At 54.1% G+C, this 20,460-nt stretch overlaps 4 annotated features.

Moving 5' to 3' along the window:
- Positions 8,851-8,920: a silencer, noted in NCBI's record as "silent region_14684". NCBI's record gives its function as "represses an Ori minimal core promoter by ATAC-STARR-seq in GM12878 lymphoblastoid cells {active_cell/tissue: GM12878}" and the evidence as "EXISTENCE:reporter gene assay evidence [ECO:0000049][PMID:35858748]".
- Positions 13,110-13,610: an enhancer, noted in NCBI's record as "H3K4me1 hESC enhancer chr3:126789875-126790375 (GRCh37/hg19 assembly coordinates)". NCBI's record gives its function as "activates a minimal SCP1, AML or CMV promoter by ChIP-STARR-seq in naive H9 embryonic stem cells {active_cell/tissue: H9 hESC(naive)}" and the evidence as "EXISTENCE:reporter gene assay evidence [ECO:0000049][PMID:30033119]".
- Positions 13,611-14,111: an enhancer, noted in NCBI's record as "H3K4me1 hESC enhancer chr3:126789374-126789874 (GRCh37/hg19 assembly coordinates)". NCBI's record gives its function as "activates a minimal SCP1, AML or CMV promoter by ChIP-STARR-seq in primed H9 embryonic stem cells {active_cell/tissue: H9 hESC(primed)}" and the evidence as "EXISTENCE:reporter gene assay evidence [ECO:0000049][PMID:30033119]".
- Positions 19,271-19,770: an enhancer, noted in NCBI's record as "H3K4me1 hESC enhancer chr3:126783715-126784214 (GRCh37/hg19 assembly coordinates)". NCBI's record gives its function as "activates a minimal SCP1, AML or CMV promoter by ChIP-STARR-seq in primed H9 embryonic stem cells {active_cell/tissue: H9 hESC(primed)}" and the evidence as "EXISTENCE:reporter gene assay evidence [ECO:0000049][PMID:30033119]".

Here is a 20,460-nt window from a genome sequence, read left to right as displayed (position 1 = left end):
AACCGGGACTACGTGCCTGCCCTGGTCTAAAACAGACACCTAGTCATCATCCCACTCATAAACACCCCGGCCCAAGCCTCTGAACCCAGGTCTACCTGCAGCCCTGCCTAGGGCCCCAGCTGTGCTCACCCGGCTCTGCAGGAAGCCCCATCAGCATCACCTACTTGAAGGGAGGATGGACAGGGACCCTGTAGCCCCCAGCCAGGCAGGGGACGTGCTGGAAAGGGTATCTGAGGAAAGCCTTTGGGCTCTAAGTTGAGTTTCAGATCAGAAAGCAGGCTGACCGAGGGCAGCTGCCTGTGGGCTGGTTGCTAAGGAAACCATTGGATGAGAATTTCCAGGCTGAGTCCGCTCAAGATGCTATTGATCAGCTGAGAGGAAAGGACCTGGGAGAGAACTTCCCAGAGAGAACAAAGAGAGAACGGGCACGAGGCCAGCCTCACCAAGACAAGCAGTGCAGGCTGCTCCACAGGGTAACGGTGGCTGTGCCCTGCATCAAGGCAGAGCAGGTGATCAGTGTGGCCCCCAAGCCCGCCTCTTACTGATATGTGGAGCCACGGTATCCTTGCCATGGATACTGATCACACCACCCTCGGCTGCAATGAGGACTAAAGGAGCCAGCAGACAGCACGTGCCTCGAACAGTGCCCACACATGGGTGCTGGTGGTCAGTGCGGTTTCCAAGCACTCACCATGCACAGGCTCAGTGCTAGGTCTCAGACCATTTGCGTCTCTATACAGGAACACCTGAGTCTGGGGAATTGATAAAGAAAAGAGGTTTGTTTGGCTCACAGTTTTGCAGGCTGCACAGAAAGCACAGCAGCAGCTTCTGCTTCTGGGGAGGCCTCAGGAAGCTTCCACTCATGGCAGAGGTGAGGTGGAGCTGCATGTGCAGAGGTCGCACTGAGATAAAGAGAGAGAGAGGGAGAGGGGAGGTGCCAAGCTCCTTCTGACAACCAGATCTCGCAGGAACTCATGGAACGAGAACTCACGCATCACTGTGGGGAGGGCACGACGCCACTCATGAGGGATCCCCCGTGACCCAGACACCTCCCACCATGCCCACCTCCAACACCGAGGATCAAGTTTCAACTTGAGGTTTGGAGGGGACGCAAATCCAAACTATGTCATTCTAGCTTCTGTGCCATCCACTCCTCACTGTGAGGTGCACGTCACAAAGCAAATAATGCATCACACATGCAGACATACATGACACATGCATACATGACGTGCATGCACACATACATATACCACACACGTATATCATACATATAAACATACACGCTACTATATATGTAGCACACAAACATACATGGCATAATACATGACACGTAGACACAACACACACATAACATATGCACGACACGCAAGCATGACATCCATAACATCCATAACACGTATACACATGTTACATGCATGCAGACATTCCTCCTGCCTGTGCAGGAGGAATCGTTATCCCCACTTTACAGATGAGGGAGCTTGTGGGATTTCTGGTGCTGTGATGTGGGCAGGGAGATTGGGGCAGACCCAGTGGGAAGATGCCTGCAGAAGAAGGGGGGATGGGAATTCACATTACTGAGCATGTGACACAGGCCTGGCACATTACATACATGATTCCATGCATGCAGTGCTGGGCAGGGAGCTGGGACACTGTTCCAGGCTCACACAGGTAAGTCGGGTGCCAGATCCCACCCCAGGTTCAAGGCCCAATCTGGTCCACACTAACCCTGCATGGCAGAGCCAGGTCCTTCACTACTGGCTCATGGATCTAGGGCATGGATGGGGGACATCAACTTCAGGTATGACTCAGTAGTATTGTCATGGCCACACACCCTCTTCTTACCTTGACCTCCCTCCTCCTGGGTCAGCCTCACCCTTCACACTGGCTTCTCCTCATGGCTGACAAGATGCCCCCAATGTCTGCAGGCACATTTCTCATCCCTTCCCTCAAAACAAGCTGGGGCCGGGCGTGGTGGCTCATGCCTGTAATCCCAGCACTTTGGGAGGCCGAGGTAAGTGGATCACCTGAGGTCAGGAGTTCGATACCAGCCTGGGCAACATGATAAAACCCCATCTCTACTAAAAATAAAAAAATTAGCCGGGCGTGGTGGCACATGCCTGTAGTCCCAGCTACTCAGGAGGCTGAGGCAGGAGAATCGCTTGAACCCGGGAGGCAGACGTTGCAGTGAGCCGAGATCGTGCCATTGCACTCCAGCCTGAGCAACAAGGGCGAAACTCCGTCTCAAAAAAAAAGCTGGGGAACTCTTGGGCTGCCCATCTCTGAGCCAATCCCTGCACCTGGAAGGATCACATGTTCTGACAGACTCAAAATTGGAGTTGAATCTGTGCCCAGAGAGCAGACAAGGCAGGCACTGGGCAAGTAGGGCTGACCCAGGGCACCCTTCCCCTAAGGCTGGGTCTCGGTTCCTCCTCCCACGAGAGGGCATCTTACCTGCAGGTTGCAGGAGAACTTGACAGTTTGCAGAGTGCTTTCCCACCCATGATCTATGGTCCTGCTTGCCTAATGTACATAATAACAGCCAATTTTTTGTGGGGACCCCCCCAACTCTCAGGCCATGAAGTTTTCTTGGTGCCACCTTCATCCCCAGGTCCAAGGATGGCCAGGTGACCTGGCCTGGCTAATCACTGCATTTCTTTCCATTGTTCAGTGATGGGTACCTGACCTCGGCAGACACAAATAAGGCAAAATCCCGGACTTTGGCAGCAGTTGTTGGAAACAAAACATCTCTCTCACCGGTGTGGCTGAAGAGAGGCCACAGCCTGGAGTTGTGATGCCACAGAGAGAGCCTGCCCAAGACCAGAGCCCAAACAGAGGAAGAGAGAGCCAAGAGCTGGAGAGGGACAGGGCCTGAGGCCATCACTGAAGTGCTGGGGCCCAGCCACACCCAAGGCCCAGCCCTCTTCTGCTGTGGGTGCCCATACATGCCTCTTTCCTTGGGCCAATTTGAGCCAGCATGCTGTCCCTGCTGCCCGTTGAACCAGAAGAGTTCTGGTGAACACAGCTGCCCAGGACAATCGCCACATCTTCAGTGGAGCCTCTGGCAATAGCCAGGATGAAGTTTGTTTCTGCAGGCTTTGCTCACACCCACGACAGCATGTTCCCTGTCCTGCTAATGCCGTTTTCTTGCATGTTCGTCTCCCGTGACAGGTCATAAGCTGCCCAAGGGCAGGGGTCCCGTCCCCACCAGCTGTGAAGCCATGTGGTCTTGGAAAGAAACTCCAGTTTGGCTGCTCACTGCTCAAAAAGCCAAATATACAAGAGGCCAGGTGTGATGGAAGGAAAGTGGCCTTATTCAAATGCCAGCAGATGAGGAGCTGGCCAGGCATCAGCCTCAAAGAAGCCAACCCAAATTTTTGGGCTGACTGAGGGGGTTTAAATGGGAAACTTGGTATGGGAAACATGCCGGAGCAGTGCAGGGCGCAGGTCTGCACTCCTTCCAAGGGTTATCTTGAGTCCCTCTGGATACCAGTTGACACTGTCTCAACGGCCGCTGGGTTGCAGATTAACCACCTTGAGGTAATCTCTAGGTGGGGGAGAATGCCACAGCTGCACCTGCATGCTGGCTTGTTTCAAGCTTAGCCCGAGTTTCTAAGCAAGTATGTATTCATAGTTAGATGAGCGTGCATGGCACAAGGAAGGGTCTGGTGGGAAAGGGAGGGAAACAAAGAATTTCAAAGTACATTTCAAGGCCATATTCTAAGATTAGAGAAAAGAAGTTCTAAAATGGATTTTAAAGCTGAGGTACTCGGGTACAGACAGGGGAGGTGGAGCAGGATTCTGCGTTGGATGCAGACACCTCAGTTCTGCACTGGCCCTTATGGCTATGTGACCTTGGGTGTTAGCTGTGGCTCTCCGGGCCTCAGCTCCTCCCTCAAAGCTGGGCTGAGGATTGACTGAGAAGATGTAGCGTGGCACCTGGATTCAATTTTTACTTACTCATTTACCAAGTTATTCTCTGGTGCCTTCTATGGGCCAGGCATGGTTCTCTGGGCAGGAACAAGGTCCTTATGCTCCAGAGGAAGGGAAAGGAGGTGAACAACTGAACAAGCAGAGTGAGATCTTCGCAGACAGCGGTGAGTGCTATGTGGACAGGGGCTGGGACTGTCCTAGAGCAGCACAACCCGATAGAATCTTCTGCAATGATAGAAGCGGTCTCTACTGGGTAAATATGACTACAGAGCACGTGTGAGGCAGCCGCTGAGGTTGAGGACCTGGGTTTTTCATTGTATTGAATTTTAAGTCATTTAAATGTTAAAATGGATGTTCAAATCAGTTCAGTTATTTTGGAACAAGGTGGCTATGGAAGTAGTCTCTTTCAACAGTAAGTTGTATCAGACCTAAAAGCAGATCAAGTATTTCCTACAAAAATTTAGCTTCTGAATTGACATGTGTTATACATGTAAAATACATGAAATTTCAAAGATAGTACAATAAAAAAAGTGAGAACACAGAATACCTCACTGACATTTTTATATTGATTACATATTGAATAATAATATTTTGGATAAATTGGGTTAAAAATATATGAAAGATAAGTAAATACAAACAGACATGTAAATATATCCATACATTTAAATTAATTTCTTGTTTAATGTGGCTACCATAAAATTTCAAATTACATTTGTGACTTGCATAATCTTTCTCTTGGATGGGGCTTTTCTAGAGCATTCTTGGAGGGGGCAGTGGTTAGACCAGGGGTCAAGGAGAGCCTCTCTAGGGCGGGAACACTGGAGCTGAGAACTTCAGGAGTGGAAGGAGCCAGTCATGTGGAGACGGAGAAACAGCAAGTGCAAGGGCCCTGCAGCAGAGTGCATTTGTCATGTCTGAGGCACAGAGAGAAGGTAGCTGCCTGCATATGAGTGAGGGAGAGGGAGAGGCAATTCCTTCAGACATATGGGCCATGCCCAGACCATGTGGACTGGAGAGTCCATGGTTTCCAGAAATGGCCTCACCAGCGTCTCTCATTTCATGTGCTCTTCTGCAAGTGACACAGCCACTCTCCATCTATGTCTCCTGGCCTTGAAACAGCATGCACTTGTGCCTTCTTGGACCACTAGAGTCCAGTGGAAGCGACATTATGTAACTTGCCAGGCTAGGTCAGAAAAGGCCTGCATGCAGCTTCCTCCTGCTTCCTCCCATGCTCTCCAGAAACCCCTCTCAGCACCTGTCCGCCATGCTGTGAGGAAGCTAGAGTCCCTTGGGGACATGTGGGCAGGCGCTCCAGTCTACAGGCTCCACTGAGCCAGACCTGGTACAGCAGAAGCAAGCCACATGCTCAGGTCCCATCCAGAGTCCTTGCACACAGAATGCCTGAGCAGAACAACATGGCTGGCATATTCCACCGCACAGCTACTCAGGGTTTGTCACCTGTCCGTATTTGCCAGGACATGTGACACAGTGAGGCATTTAAGCTGCATTCTAAGCTTCTTCAGCAGCCTTTAAGCATGCAAGTGGCAGGATTTGACTTTTAACGTTTAAAAGATGCCCTTGGCTGCTGTGCTGAGAACTGATGGGGGAGGGGCAAGAGTGGAGGCAGAGAGGCCAGTAGGCAGCACTGAGGGGCAGGGTGCAATGTGGACCACGACACTCACGAAGCTCCCTGCTAGACCTGCATTGCCTCCCAGGCCTCCCGCAGCCCCATTGTCACCACCACCCCCTCAGACAGACGAAGAAAGCGTGCACTCGAGGAAGCCAAATGATCAATCCAGGGTCACAGGGCGAGCGACTGGCCAGGAAGGATTTGAACCCTGGTAATCTGGCTCTGAGTCCCTCCCCTACCCCCCCTGCTGGGGTCTCTCAGGACAGAAAGACCCCAGCAAAGACTCAGTGCCCAGTGCCGGGCCCAGAGACACCAGCCAGGGTCCTGAGCTGGGTAAGAGCCATCACCTGGGACCCGTGTGTGTGGGGCACTCTGCTTCCCCCAGTTCCTGGAAATGTCTCCAGCTTATCCACTTGCTCTGACCACGGTCTGCCTTTGGTATGGACACCTGGTAAACCCCACCCAGCACTGGCCTGGCCAGACCCACCAGGGAGGTGCGGGGAGGATTCTTTCCCAGGAGGCATTAGAAGACCAGAAGCCATTAATATCTGCAGCAGCCTTGGGCAAGTCCTTCTCCTCTCTGGGCCTTAGTTTCCCCATTCTGTAAATGGGCGGGAAAAGAAAAAAGACCCTCTAAATTTCTTCTCAGCCCTAATGCTCTGGAAGGCAAGAGACCTGAGACCTGGGCTGATTTGTCCCTTGGTTGCAAGTGACAGAGACCCTGTTCCAAGGAGGAATGGACTGGCTCAGGTCACTGAAAAGTCCAGGGGTAAACTTTAGGTGTGGCTAGATCCAGCGGCTCACCCAGTGTCATTAGAAACTCATCTGTCTTCTCTCTCCATCCTGAGGCAGGGCCTGCAGGGCCTGGCAGCTCCAGGCTTAATATTTTTGCCCTTAGCTATACCAGAAACCCCAACCACCCCCTGACATGGCCTTGACTGGCTCTTCTTGGGTCACATACCCACCCACTCAGAGACCAATCAATGTCCCCCAAGGGATTAGAATGCTCTTGGTGGCCAGCTTGCTCACACCACCTGGTTCACAAGGAGATAGAGCCTTGAGACTCCAGCAGTTGGGGTCGGGGGTGGTTTTGAAGGCAAAGGAACCAGCAGAAGTCCTCTTGGCGCCCTCCTCCTAAGTTGTTGTGAGATGGGGGAATAGGTCATGGATAGTATGCAGGGTTATGTGGCCTGAAGTGCTGTCTGGGCCAGCCACCCTCAGGATGGCCCAAGCCCTAAAGCCTGCCCACACCCCCGACCCACGGCCAGTCTGCACACGGCAGAATCAAAGACACCCATGTGGCACTTCCTGCTCAAAGCTGCCCAGATCTCTGTCTCCCAAGGCCCCACTAAAGAGATTATGGGCCTGTCTTTTAGCAGAAACCCTGGGCCTCTGGGCTGGCTCTGCTAATCCCGACAAAGGATAACAGGCCCCTAATTAATTCTCCAAATCTGATGGCAGTGTGAACACCAGCCAGTCCACCCGCCTTAATGAGTTTAATCGACTGGACTTGACGATTTTATTCGAAACCTAGGGCCACAAATTAAGCTCTTAAAAATGCACTTGAACTTGATTGGCAGCAGTAATCCCAACAAAATCTGTTTAATCCTTGGGCTGCCCACGCAGGAACAGCCCGTGCGGGGCTGTGGGCCTGCAGCTCAAACGCTGGGATCCCCTCCCTTCTCAGCTCCAGGGCTGGGTCTCCTCTGCCTTCTGCCTTTAGGCCAGGAGGGAGGACCGGGAGAAAGAAAGTGCCCCGCCTCACCCCTACTGCCCAGGTGCACACCTAAGTACCCTTCAACCCTGGCCCAGACTACTTCTCCAGGAGTACTTCTCCCACATTTCCTGGTACGGCTCGTGGTGCTCCCACCACTGGTGTGACTGGCTCGCATGCTCCGGGGGCAGAGCCACCTGCTGCCCATTCCTGGGTCCCAGCCCCCAGCTTAGGTGCTGTGAGTTGAATGTTGTTGGTGGCCAGCTTTGCACAGATGGCCCCAGGGACATGGCCCCCATGGACTCTGTCCTCCTGAAGAAGATGGATTGCAAAATTGGCCACAAGGCTCCATCCTTCCTCTGGAGTCCCTTGCCCCACCATGTGATTCTGGCTGGCCAGATTTTGCTTTGACCACTAGCATGGGTGGGAGTGATATGCCACTGCTCAGCCTACACTTCACGCTCCCTCAGAGCCCTGCCTCTGCTTGACCACAAACTTGGCCTGGAGGCTGCTGGAGAATGGGAGGCCCTATGGAGCCAGGTGGTCCCTGTGGAGGTCATTCTGAGAGGTGACAGTGTGCTGGCAGCCCTCGAAGCCCTCGCTCGCTCTTGGCGCCTCCTCGGCCTTGGCGCCCACTCTGGCCACGCTTGAGGAGCCCTTCAGCCCACCGCTGCACTGTGGGAGCCCCTTTCTGGGCTGGCCAAGGCCGGAGCCGGCTCCCTCAGCTTGGGGGGAGGTGTGGAGGGAGAGGCACGGGCGGGAACTGGGGCTTCGCGCCACACTTGCGGGCCAGCCTGAGTTCTGGGTGGGCGTGGGCTCGGCAAGCCCCGCACTGGGAGTAGCTGGCTGGCCCACAAGCCCCGGGCAGTGAGGGGCTTAGCACCTGGGCCAGCAGCTGCTGTGCTCAATTTCTCGCCGGGCCTTAGCTGCCTCCCCGCGGGGAAGGGCTCAGGACCTGCAGCCACCCATGCCTGAGCCTCCCTGCCCCGCCGTGGGCTCCTGCGTGGCCTGAGCCTCCCGGCGGAGTGCTGCTCCCTGCTCCACGGTGCCCAGTCCCATCGACCACCCAAGGGCTGAGGAGTGCCGGCAAATGGCATGGTACTGGCAGACAGCTCCACCTGCGGCCCCGGTGTGGGATCCACTGGGTGAAGCCAGCTGGGCTCCTGATCTGGTGGGGACTTGGAGAATCTTTATGTCTAGCTAAGGGATTGTAAATACACCAATCAGCACTCTGTATCTAGCTCAAGGTTTGTAAACACACCAATCAGCACTCTGTATCTAGCTCAGTGTTTGTGAATGCACCCATTGGCACTCTGTATCTAGTTAATCTGGTGGGGACTTGGAGAACCTTTATGTCTAGCTAAGGGATTGTGAATGCACCAATCGACACTCTGTATCTAGCTCAAGGTTTGTAAATGCACCAATCAGCACTCTGGGTCTAGCTCAGGGTTTGTAAATACACCAATTGACACTCCTTATCTAGCTAATCTAGTGGGGACCATGGAGAACTTTTGTGTCTAGCTCAGGGATTGTAAACGCACCAATCAGCACCCTGTCAAAACGGACCAATCAGCTCTCTGTAAAACAGACCAATCGGCTCTCTGTAAAATGGACCAATCAGCAGGATGTGGGTGGGGCCAGATAAGAATAAAAGCAGGCTGCCCCAGCCAGTAATGGCAAGCCACTGCATGCCCTTCCAGACTGTGGAAGCTTTGTTCTTTTGCTGTTTGTAATGAATCTTGTTACTGCTCACTCTTTGTATCTACACTGTCTTTATGAGCTGTAACACTCACCACGAAGATCTGCAGTTTCACTCCTGAGTCAGCAAGACCACGAACCCCTTGGAAGGAAGAAACTCTGAGCACATCCAAACATCAGAAGAAACAAATTCTGGGCAGGCCGCTCTTAAGAACTGTAACATTCACTGCGAGAGTCTGTGCCTTCATTCTTAAAGTCAGTGAGACCAAGAACCCACCAATTCCGGACACAAGTCTACAGCAGCCAGCCGGAAAAGTCAGCAACAGGACACTGGTTCTTGAACAAGCCCAGACCACGGAGTTCAGCCCAGGCATTAGAGCTCAGTTAAGACCATAGAGCTCAGCCCAGCCCAGCCAAGCATAGCCCAGACTATGGAGCTCAGCCCAAACCACAGAGCTCAGCCCAGCCCAGCCAAGCATAGCCTAGACTACAGAGCTCAGCCCAACCCAACAGAGCACAGCCCAGACCACAGAGCTCAACCCAGACCAGCCAAGCACAGCCCAGACCACAGAGCTCAGTTCAGACCATAGAGCTCAGCCCAGCCAAGGATAGCCCAGACCGTGGAGCTCAGCCCAGACCAACCAAGCATAGCCCAGCTCACAGAGCTCAGCCCAGACCACAGACCTCAGCCCAGCACAACAGAGCACAGCGCAGACCAGCCAAGCACAGCCCAGACCATGTAGCGCAGCCCAGTCCAGTCAAGCACAGCCCAGACCACAGAGCTCAGCCCAGACCAGCTAAGCTCAGCCTAGACTTCCCAGCTCAGCTTGCCAATACTTAAAGTCTGAAAATAGTATATGATATTGTTTCAGGCCCCTGTGTTTAGAGGTGGCTGGTACACAGCTCAGCTTCCTGGGACACCTCCCCCACTAGCCCAGCTCTCTGCAGAGTTGTGGTAGGTTCTGCCTTTACCCTCCAAGGTCTCCAAGTGTTTAGGAGCACCCGTTGGAAGTACGCTGTCTGCCACAGCCAAGCCTTTGCTTGAGCCTGCCTCACCCCCAAGCTCCCCTAACTTGCAGTCATTGCCCCTCACTGCCCTGCTCTGGAGCTGGCCCTGTCATTAACTCACCAGCCAGGTCTCACTAACTTCAGCTCTTTGGGAGCAGAGCCATGGGAATGAGCCTTGTCTTCCCAGAGGGTACCTGGCTGTGTTCAGATTGAGTTTCCTCCTGCCCAGTGACCAGGGCTGGATTGGATGCTCCAAGTAAAACAAACACACTAGCACATGCATGCACACACACGAACACTTGCACATGACCACACACACATGCACACGGATATGCTCCTACAGGCACCACACACAGTTAAAATAAGCTCATTATACTCTGGCCGCAGGACAATTTACCCTGTAGCTGTTTGCTAAGAAAGCCACTCAGAGAGGACAAAAGAAAATCCAGCTTTTTTATATATTTCAAAATATGTTTTCTCTATCAGATTGGCCAGACTCCAAGTGTTTTCAGTCTGCTCTGTGGGCCAGACCTCAGGAAAGTGAGCACTGCTTGCCTTGCTGCTGGAAGGGTTCGTGGCATGGCCTCTATGAAAGGCAGTGTGGCAATTCCCATCAACATTATCCACTGACCCAGCAATCCCACCTGCGGAATTTTGCCCTGCAGGTGTACCTACCCACATTTCAAGAGACTCTGAGCAAGATTACCCACACCACATTGTTTCTGGCAGCAAAAGAACAGGAATAGCCCGAAATGCCCATCTCATTTTAAAACCTTGCAAATGCAGCATCTGTTTTACAAAAATAACAATAATGAAAAGCTGCAGAGTCAATGAGTGAATGCATGCTGGTCAAGCAAGCAGTCATGGTCACTGGGACGTTGGGAACACTCCGAACCCCACTCTGATGCCTGCCCAGCTGCAGCCCCTCCTGCGGGTGTCAGCACCGCCCCACCCCACAAAGCTGGCCTGACGCCTCCTCTGTCCCTCCCCAGCCCCTCCTAGCACACACGCCAAAGGGACTCTAGCCATCAACCCGCTGCTCGTCCCAGTTCTACAGCAGCCCAGAGGGGCGTCCAGGGCTGACTGAGCAGCAGGGCGGCCTGAGGCCCCAGGGCTCCCAGCGCCAGCCCCGCCTGTGAGCCCAGGAAGCAAGCTGCTTTGATGAAATTTTCACACTCCATGCATCTTTCAGGAGGAGGAGTTGGGTGGGGAGTGGAGAGGGAAGCTCCCTAGATGCTTTCTATGCTAGGGCTGGGCCTAGGGGCTGGGACCACATCAGTGAAGGTAGACCAGCAAGCCCCAGCCCTCCACCCACCCCCACTGGCCATACCAGGCAGGAGAGGAAGGCCTAGGAGGGGAGCAGTCACCTCTCGTTCTCACAGCAGCCGGCTATGGCCCTCTGACCACTGGTCTCCACTCTGCAGTGGTCAAGAGTGAGGCTTCTCCCCAGTCCTTGCCCTGCACTGGCACACGATGTTGGCAGCAGATGGACAGAGGGTCAGCTCCCAGTTACCTGTGTCCTCAGAGGCTGGAGGAGTCTGGTCCCCACCCTCCCTGCCTGCCAGGCCTGCGTCTCCACCTGGGAAGGGGCACCACACCTACCTGCCAGATGTTCCACACCCAGTACGTGCTGGGGAGCAGAGGGTCACTCTGCCCCATCCATGTCTGTCTCTCTTCTTTGTCTCTCTGCTCCAGCCCTGTCTCCACCCTCCATTTGGCTTGGGAAAGTCCCTGTGCTTCCCAATCCTGTTCTCAGTTCTCCCATTTCTCCTGGGAGTGAACAGGTGTGTGATCCGACACAAGGGAGGTCCTCCATGCCTGGGCCTGGCTACTCTGCACAAGTGGGACCCTCACCCAGCTTCAGGGCAGGCCCACACCTCCCAGCCTTGCCCAGCCCCACAGTCTCCATATGGGTTCCTTCAAGGCTATGCAAGGATTCCAGTGCCAGTAGTGTGCATGGGGGCTGAGCCCAAGACCCCCTGGAGGGCTGTGAAGAAATGAGAGGGGGAAGGGAACCTGCTGGGAAGGGCTCGACACAGGCGGGTGGCCACTTGCAGGTGGCTGAGGTTCAGTCCCGTGGACACCAGAGACTTCTGAGGGTCACGTGTGGGGTCTGTCCTTGGCACTTCCACCCTGCCATGCGTGCATGAAGTTGAGCAGCTCTGGCGACTTTCAGGCTGGGGCCAGCACTATGCACAGGGCTCCGGCTGCGTTTGCTTGCTCTTCTCCTCCCTGAAGCACTTGGTCATGCAGTTGTGCCCACTGAGAGCTTGCAATGGCAGCTCCCACTGTCCCTGGGAAGCTGCTCTTGGCAGATGGGGGGAGTCTATCCCAGCTCCTACCTTGAAGACACTTCTGCCACTCCCCGGGGGTCTGCACTGGCTGCCTTGCTGGGCCCTCCCTCCTCTCGCCTCCTGCCCCAGACTTGCTAAGCCCATGTGGGGCGGCAACGAACCCTGCATGTGCTAATTCAGCAAACATTACCCAGCTCCGGCCAAGTAACAGCACTAACTAATCCTGCCAACACCCCTGCAAGGCACATACCCTCACTGCCTTTTACAGATGAGAAAACCAAGGCCTAAAGAGCCAAGGTGACTTGCCTGAGGTCTCCCAGCCAATGAAGAGTGGAGCCAGGGCTGAAACTGGGCCTGTCTCACACCAGCCACCATGTTTGAAACCCCCTTGGAGGACAAGCGCCGACTCAGCCTCCGTGGGGCTGCTCAGGGACTCCGGGGCGCTGGCTGTCTAAGGAGCAGACCCCTCTGGACGACACCCACATCTGCTGGAGTGGCAAGGGCACACGCTGCTGCCCCAGGCACTCTGCCCACAAGTGGCACCAATGCCTGGGCTCTAAGTGGCACCCCCGCACCCCAGTTATACCTGGGCATCATGTGACCACGCCCCTCCTGCACCCCAGGCCCATTTCAGCCTGAGCTCTGTTGGCTCGGCCCCTCTCTCTTGAATCACTCATTCCTTTCCCTCTGCACAGCTGCCACCTGCCCCACCCTGTCCCTGCCACCATCTTCTCTTGTCTGGCCAATTGCAAGGGCATCAAAGCAGATCTCCTGACGCCACTCTTTTACAACATATTTCCTGCTTCAGCTCATGGCATGTCTCTACTCCAGAGCCTCATGAGGCTTTCCCTCACCCTCCTTACCCTGGCCTGCCAGGTTGCATGGTCCACCCCCTGCTGATGCCTCCACTGTCACAGGGCCACCTGGTCCTCACCCCACACTCTACCCCATCCTCACTTCCTCTGCCCACTGCCCTCACCCCTTGCCAAGATGATCCCTTCATCCTCCAAGCTCCAACTTAAATGTCCCTTCTCAGGATGACTGCGGCTCCTTCAATTGTTCTCCAAGCTCTCTGAGCATCTCAGCAGGGTCCTGTACAGATGGAATTTTCCAGAGACAACCGTAATGACACTTTCCATATGACACCCTTCTGCAGCGTGGCCTTCCCATCCTCCCGTCGTGCCCTTTGGATGTGGGCAGGATGGAGCCTTGCTTGCAGCCAGCAGAAAGTGCTGGAAGTGGCGCTGTGTGATGCCATGGTGAGGTCAGGACAGCCACACCGCCTGTTCTCGTTCCCTGGAGCACTGCAGCTGAGGCTCCACCACCTCAAGGCCACTCACGAGTCACCTGTCTTAGCCTTCAAGTTCTCCCAGGCCTGGCACCAGATGTGTGAGCAAAGGAGCCCCCACTCACTTCCCATCCCATCTCCCCCAGCCTTGGAGTCTTCCCAGCCGGGCCTGGAGTACAAGCCAGCCATCGCCTGCCATGCCCTCTCCGAACTGTAGCCACAGCATCTGTGAGTGCAACAAAATGGCTCAAGTTGGTGCCACTACGTGGAGGTGGAGGATTTGCTGTGCAGTGATGGAACCCCGGCATTCCCAATCCTCCCAGCCTGGCTACAAGCAGTCTGTGCCTTTATAGGAGCAGAACCAGGACGGGTCTTTCCTTTGAGGAACAATTTTCTAAGTCTTTTGAATCAGCAAAGGACAAACCAGGGTCCCTTCTGGAAGGCAGTGTCTGGCTTCCTTGTGGATAAGAAGGGCTGTGGGGGCAGTTACCTGCACCCCTGACTGGCTCACTCTGTCTGGGTGCTGGGGCAGGAGTGGGCAGATGAGAGTCTTTGGCTCAGCTGAGGGAATTCTCATGGTGAGGATGAGAGTCCCACGGTGTGGCAGGGCCAGGGACTCGTGGCCAAAACAGTGTGGGAGCAGGCTCTCCTAGAAGCTGGTTTTAAGGTTTCCTTTCCTGAGTAGCAACTCCCAACACACTCAAAGTATGGTCCTAGCCAGTGGCGTGCTTGTCACCTGGGGACTTGTTGGAGCTACCCAGCCCTGTGCGCTGGGGCCCCACCCTGGAGCAAGCCCAGACCTGAGGCTCTGTGCAGGCTTAGGTCTAAGAGCCTCTGCCCTCCGTAACCAGGACAGCCTGGGGGTGGCTGTGGGTGGGGACTTCTGCCACCTCCATGCTTGGGGGTGGCAGTGTCAGGGCTACAGGGTTCTGAGCAGCAAGGATGGAGGACGGCAGAGCAGTGAGCAGGTAGTGTGGGGCGGCGTGGGAGCTGGGGAGACGTGGACAGCCATGCCAGGGACCCTGTGCACTGGACCAAGACCAGCCAGGGCCAGTGTGCAGGCGATCGACAACAGGCTGCGAGCTCGGGAGCGGGGCACAGGGCTCGGGGCACCCTCAGCCCACACTGGAGGACCAGCAGCAGCTCCTGGAGCCCCCTGGCCAGAGGGGTCTGGTTATCCACAGAAGTTTCCTCTTTAGGAATGGGGTCTGTGCTTTTTGAAGGAAGAAACTGAGATTTTACTAGCAACTTTTCAGTTCGTGACCCTCATGTTACTGTATTGATTTGTATGTTAACTTGACCTTCCCTGCCTTCTGCCTCTCCCTCTCCCCTTCCTCTCTCCTTCCTGGTCCTGTTTACTTGGAAGGCGGTTGGGTAACTTGTGTGTTTTTGGACAGGAGAGAATCGTTTAAAATGTTGCTCTGTGATTATACTTTTTCTTTGGTTGTTATATTCCTTTTTACTCATAACTCCCTAGCCCTTAATTCTCATTTTTGACCTATGGTTTCATCTACTTAAAAAATTACCTCGTGGCGATGAGCTTCACCCTTGTTCTTAATCTTCGCTCTTTTGTGTTTCCAGCCTTCTGCTTGGCAGCTCGTTGGCTTCTCACCTTTTATCTCCTTATCCTGCATCTCATTTTCCTATCTTTTATTACATTTACATTCTAAAGTTCTCATCTTTGTTAGGTTTCTGTGACTCTCTTGTTTCTAGATCTTGTGTCATGCACTGTAACAATATTACTTCTTACGCTGTGATGCCTGATTCTTTATTTTCATCTCTGCAGCCTCCTGGGATGATCCCTCTCGTCTGCATACCCTTTCTCACCTGCTGGTAGGCCTCGCGCTGCTGCTCACGCTGGCAGACGGGCAGTGTGGGCTGGGGGCCAACATGGGTGGGACAGGGCCCCTTCACCTCCACACACTCTACCTGCTCCTCTCCTGGGCTGCTCGAGGCTCTTTGAGACACTTGTCCTCTGAGAGCCCAGGACACCCTCTCTCGGAGGTTGGCCCCACGGCTTTCCAGGACCAAGAGGCTCTGACATTGCACGCAGGGCTCCAGGGGCAGCTGGCCTCAACCTGAGGTGGCCACCCCATCATCCCACATTCAGAAGCCACATGGGGTGAGGAGGCAAGTGGCCGAGCCTGCTGACACCCTGTGGAGAGAGGCCTGAACCCATGGGACCCTGGGCTGAGCCCTAAAAGCCAGAGGGACCAACAGAAGAGCTGGAGATCCTCTTCCCTGATGAGAGCTACACCAAACACGAGAACCAGGAGCACCCCAGGAAGCCCCAGTGAGGAAGCCTGGGCGGGAGTGGCTGGGAAGCTGCACTTCCCCAGGCATGGTAGGATGTGGGTGGGGGCACAGGAGCCGTCAGCCTCCCAACAGTGCCTATAAGTGTCAGTCCCGTGGCCTGTGAACACTCTATCCACAGACCAACCTCTGCGGGTACCCCCACGGCAGCTGGGGTCCCTCTGGCTCAGGTCCCAGCCTCATCACCTGGATGTGTGAGGGCCCACCAGGGCCCATATGTGAAGGGGGACAAGGACCCCCGCCTTGCAGGGACATTCTGAGAATCTGTGTGTGAGACACTGGGCACAGGGCCACGGCCCAATCCTTCTGGGCTCCTGTTTTCTTCTCCTCCTTCGTCCCGGCAGCCAACCTCAGCACCAAGGCTGCTCCTAAAAGCAGACTCCTCTCCCCACGCCCAGACCTGTGTATTCGTTTTCTATGCTACACAGCAAGTTACCACAAATGAAGTGACTTAAAGCCTTGCCCATGCAGGCCGGGGTTCGGCACAGGTGTCTTCAGGCTGGATCTCAGGGTCACTGGGGCATGGTTCTCAGCTGAGGCTCCCGGGCCCTCCTGTGAGCTTGCTGGGTGTTGGCAGTACTCAGCTCCTTGCAGTGGTGGCACTGACGTCCTGTCTTCCTGCTGGTGAGGGGGGCTACTCCCAACTCATGGACAGTGCCCGCCAGTCCTGGCACACAGCCCTCTAGTAATGTGGCACTTGCCTATCAGCAGCCAGCAGGAGCTCCTCTCCCTGGACTACTGAGTCCAATCTAATACTGCCTGATCCCAGGTGTGACGCTCCATCACCTTGGCCACTGAATGTGATCTCATCAAGGGAACAGCTGTCCCATCCTATTGACAGGTCCTGCCCATGCTCTAGTGGATGGATCACACAGGGTGTGTGCCCCTGGGGCAGGAATCTCCAGGCCATCTCAGGATTCTTCCCACCACATCCTGCAGGCCCACAGTGTTCCTGAAGGCCTCCGATCAAGAGCCCTGACTCTTGGTTAATGATGAATTTTGCCTAGCAACAATTGCCAAGCAACAGCTCTTCAGAAAGAGATGTCAAGGTATTAAACAGATACTCCACGGCTGGGATGAGGAAAGACAGGTCAGTGGGTGCTGGGCCAGGCCTGCATGCAGGACATCCTCTGTCCAGGCTGTGCTGGTGTTGGGGGCTCCAGTTGGTCCACAGACCTGCTGTGGGGCCTTGGGAAACTCATGCTGCCCCCTGGACATCAAACTGGACTCACAGCTGAGCTGTCTTCCATGAAAGGAGGCAGGGAAGTCAAGATGGGAACAAGGGCACGTGATGCTTCTGGAGCCCTGAAAGGCTGTGGCCACGTAACGGAGAGCTCTGATGGGTTTCCCTGAGTCGCATCAGGGGACAGCTTGGCCCTGGCATTACCTGTTTTTCTCTCCTTCAAACCCTTGGCCCTCTCAGTGCCTGTCCCTGTATGGGACCCGCCACTCACCTGCTCATTCATCCACTCATTCGGTGAGTGCTGACCACTGACTGTGCATGTGTCAGTCACACTCAGGGAGGAGGAGCCATGGACCTAATGGAGCTATGACATGGTGTGTCAGATGGTGGGGCTCAGTGAGCACAGGTAAAGCTAGGAGTGAACCACACACGGAGGCCCGCAGGCTGGCCATCCCCTTAAGAGGTAGCCCCTGACCCTTGCCATCATTCCTGCCCACACTGACCTCTGTGCCACCAAATGGCCAAATGGCTTCCATAAGATCTATACCTACAGCCAGGTGCAGGCACACTCACACTTATGTGTGCATATACCTACCTATCATATATGTCATCCATGTATCTGTCATACATTCCCCAACTAAAGGGCATCCACCACTTCTCTGTACCTGCTGTCAAGTCCACACCCTCACTATGGCCTTCAAGGCCTGCTCCCAGCCCTGTCCCTGGACACCATCCCCCATGTCTCCCCAGCCCAGGCTGCATGTGGACAGAGAGGCCTGGACACCCCTCCTTGCCCTTGGTACCAAGGGGAAAGGCACCCCCTCCCAAAGGCAACCTCTGGAGGTGTCTGCTGAGTGGGTACCAGGCTGCAGAGGGAAAGCCATTCACAGAGAACAGAAGAGATCCCAGAGACAGCCCCAAACAGCAATGGGAACCAGAATATGAATGGTGCAAAACCAGTGCAAAAACCAGTGTTGTTCATCAGTGATCCCATGAGAGTCAAGATAAAGCTGGACCCCTGCCTCACACCCCACACAACGATCAACCAAAATGGACTGAAGGCAAAACTATGAAACTTCCAGAACACAACATGGGGGAATGTCTTGAGAGAGCCCTTGAATGAGCAGAAACAAAGGAAGAGATAAAATCAGTTCCATTAAAATAAAGAATCTCTGTTCACCAAAAGCCCCATAAAAAATGAAATCACAAATGACAAGCTGCAAGGAGATATTTGTAACCCATGTAACTGCAAAGCATTAATATCCAGAATATATAAAGGACTACAATAGTCAGTAAGGAGACTGTGATTGAAAGACAGGAACAGGCATTCCTCATGAAGAAAATTGAAATGGCCAACAAACCTTGTTAGTAACCTTGGGGATCTGAATGACAATCACGTGAGATCAATTTCTCCCCCACCGAATGGGGAAGAATTAGAAACTGGACCACACCCTGTGTCAGCGGGGATTTGGAGGAGTGGCCGTGCTCCTCCTCCACCAGGATGCGTGAATGGCTGCAGTCCCTTGGAAGAACAGCGTGCTGTCATCTGGAGGAGTCTGCATGCACCCACCTCGCCTCCCAGTGCCCAGAGGCACATTCAGGAATGTTCCACACAGCAGCCCTGTTCAAATGGCTTGAAGATGGAAGCAGCCCAAACATCCACAGACAAGAGTTGTGGCAGGTTCGCACCACGGGACCTCCTACAGCGGCAAAATGAGCTGGGCCTGCCCCAGAACTCTCCCGGTGTCCACACTGAATGCCCCGTGTCCTGGGAAACCCCTCAATCCCAGGCAAGCATGTGCAGCTGGTCGCCTGAAGGAATCCCTGCAACCCCAATCAACCTCAAAAACATGATGTTGAGCAAGAGAAGCAGATCCCAGAAAATGTGTGTGGTGTGATTGCATTCCTCTCAACTCGGAAACGCACAAGCCAAACAGCACACTGTTTAGGGATGGAACTGTCGCTAGAAGCCAATACATGTTTAGCAACACACTACAGAAGAGGGAGCCACGCTGAAGGAGGAAGGGGAGGGCCGAGGGGCTGCTTTAGGGGAATACGAGTGTCACCTTTTTTAACCTGAGAGGAGGCACAGGTATTTGTTTTGTTACGATTCTAAAACTATGTAAATATATTTTATACACACTTTGATGTGAGCAGTATATGACATCATTTTATAAAATTATTTTTAAAAGATTGACTGCCATGTATATTTGCTATTTGTTGTTTGAGAATAAATATATTCAAATATCCCCCAAATGGGCTGTCTCAATTTTGTGAGAGAAAGAAAGAAAACAAGGGAGTAGGTGGACTTCAAGAGTGACACACAAACAAGCAAGCTAGTGAGTGGCCCGTGAGCCGCGCTGGGGAGCACGAGGGGCACATGGGGGCTGAACACGGATAAAGGCAGGGAAGGGCCAAGTAGGCAAGAAATATTCATGGCACACCAAATATTCATGAGCCAGCAGCATATTGAATACTCCTGGCTCAGTGAGAATACTCATGACTCACAAGGAGCTACTTATGAGTCATGAGGTCCTAAGCTGGTCACCCACTGGTGACACCCATGTGGGCCCCTCATGTCCTCTCCTGCAGAATCTGTAGCCATGCCTGGGAGCTGTTAATCTGCCCACTGGTGAGACAGCTGTTGGCCAGCACACTTGCCCGTGTTGCCAGTGGAACAAGCCTTGGCCCCAGGCACCCCCAGATCATCCTCAGCTCGGGTCCTTGTGATGCGCTGTCAGCTGAGGGGGCATCTGGTCCCAGAGGCATGGCCCACCAGCACTTAGGGGTGGGACCTCCACCCCTGCCCCCGTCCTGAGGGTGGCACCTCCCGAACCTTGCCTCTTGCTGTGTGTTTTATTTTTTGTCATCGGCCATGTGCACTGAGACATAACGCTGTGTCCTATGGAGACAGCATCGCATGGCGTCACAGCTGTGTCCACAAGGCACCCACTGAACTGAAGGTGGCGAGGGGAGGGTGCTGGGCGCTAAAAACAATGCCCGGCCTCCCTCTCCAGTATGTCAGGGACCAGGGAGACTGTCCCAGCTGGAAGGGGCGGGTTGGGAAAAGGGAGCCCCCATAAACCACTGAGAAGGAGGGCTCCAAGCCTCAGAGGAGAACTCAGAGTGCAGGGGTCGGAGGAGGCCAGAGGGAGAAACTGCACGACTGACTTAAGGGAGACGTGACAAAAATAGGAAGGCGAAACATCCTTAAGAATCAACGTGCAAGAAGGACCTCTCAATCCCACAGAGACCTTGCAGGAGAATAAAATGTCTATTTTTTAATTCTCTGGTTTATGTAGAAATTCCAACAGAACTCAGAGAGTGGCATGTACCATGGCCTCCTTAGGGTGGTCTTCAAGGAGGGCAGGATGGGCTGTGATGATCTGGTCTGCCTTTGTG

Source organism: Homo sapiens, chromosome 3 (assembly GCF_000001405.40).
Source record: "Homo sapiens chromosome 3, GRCh38.p14 Primary Assembly".
Classification (NCBI taxonomy): domain Eukaryota; kingdom Metazoa; phylum Chordata; class Mammalia; order Primates; family Hominidae; genus Homo; species Homo sapiens.
This window is presented reverse-complemented; position numbering and strand designations above follow the sequence as displayed.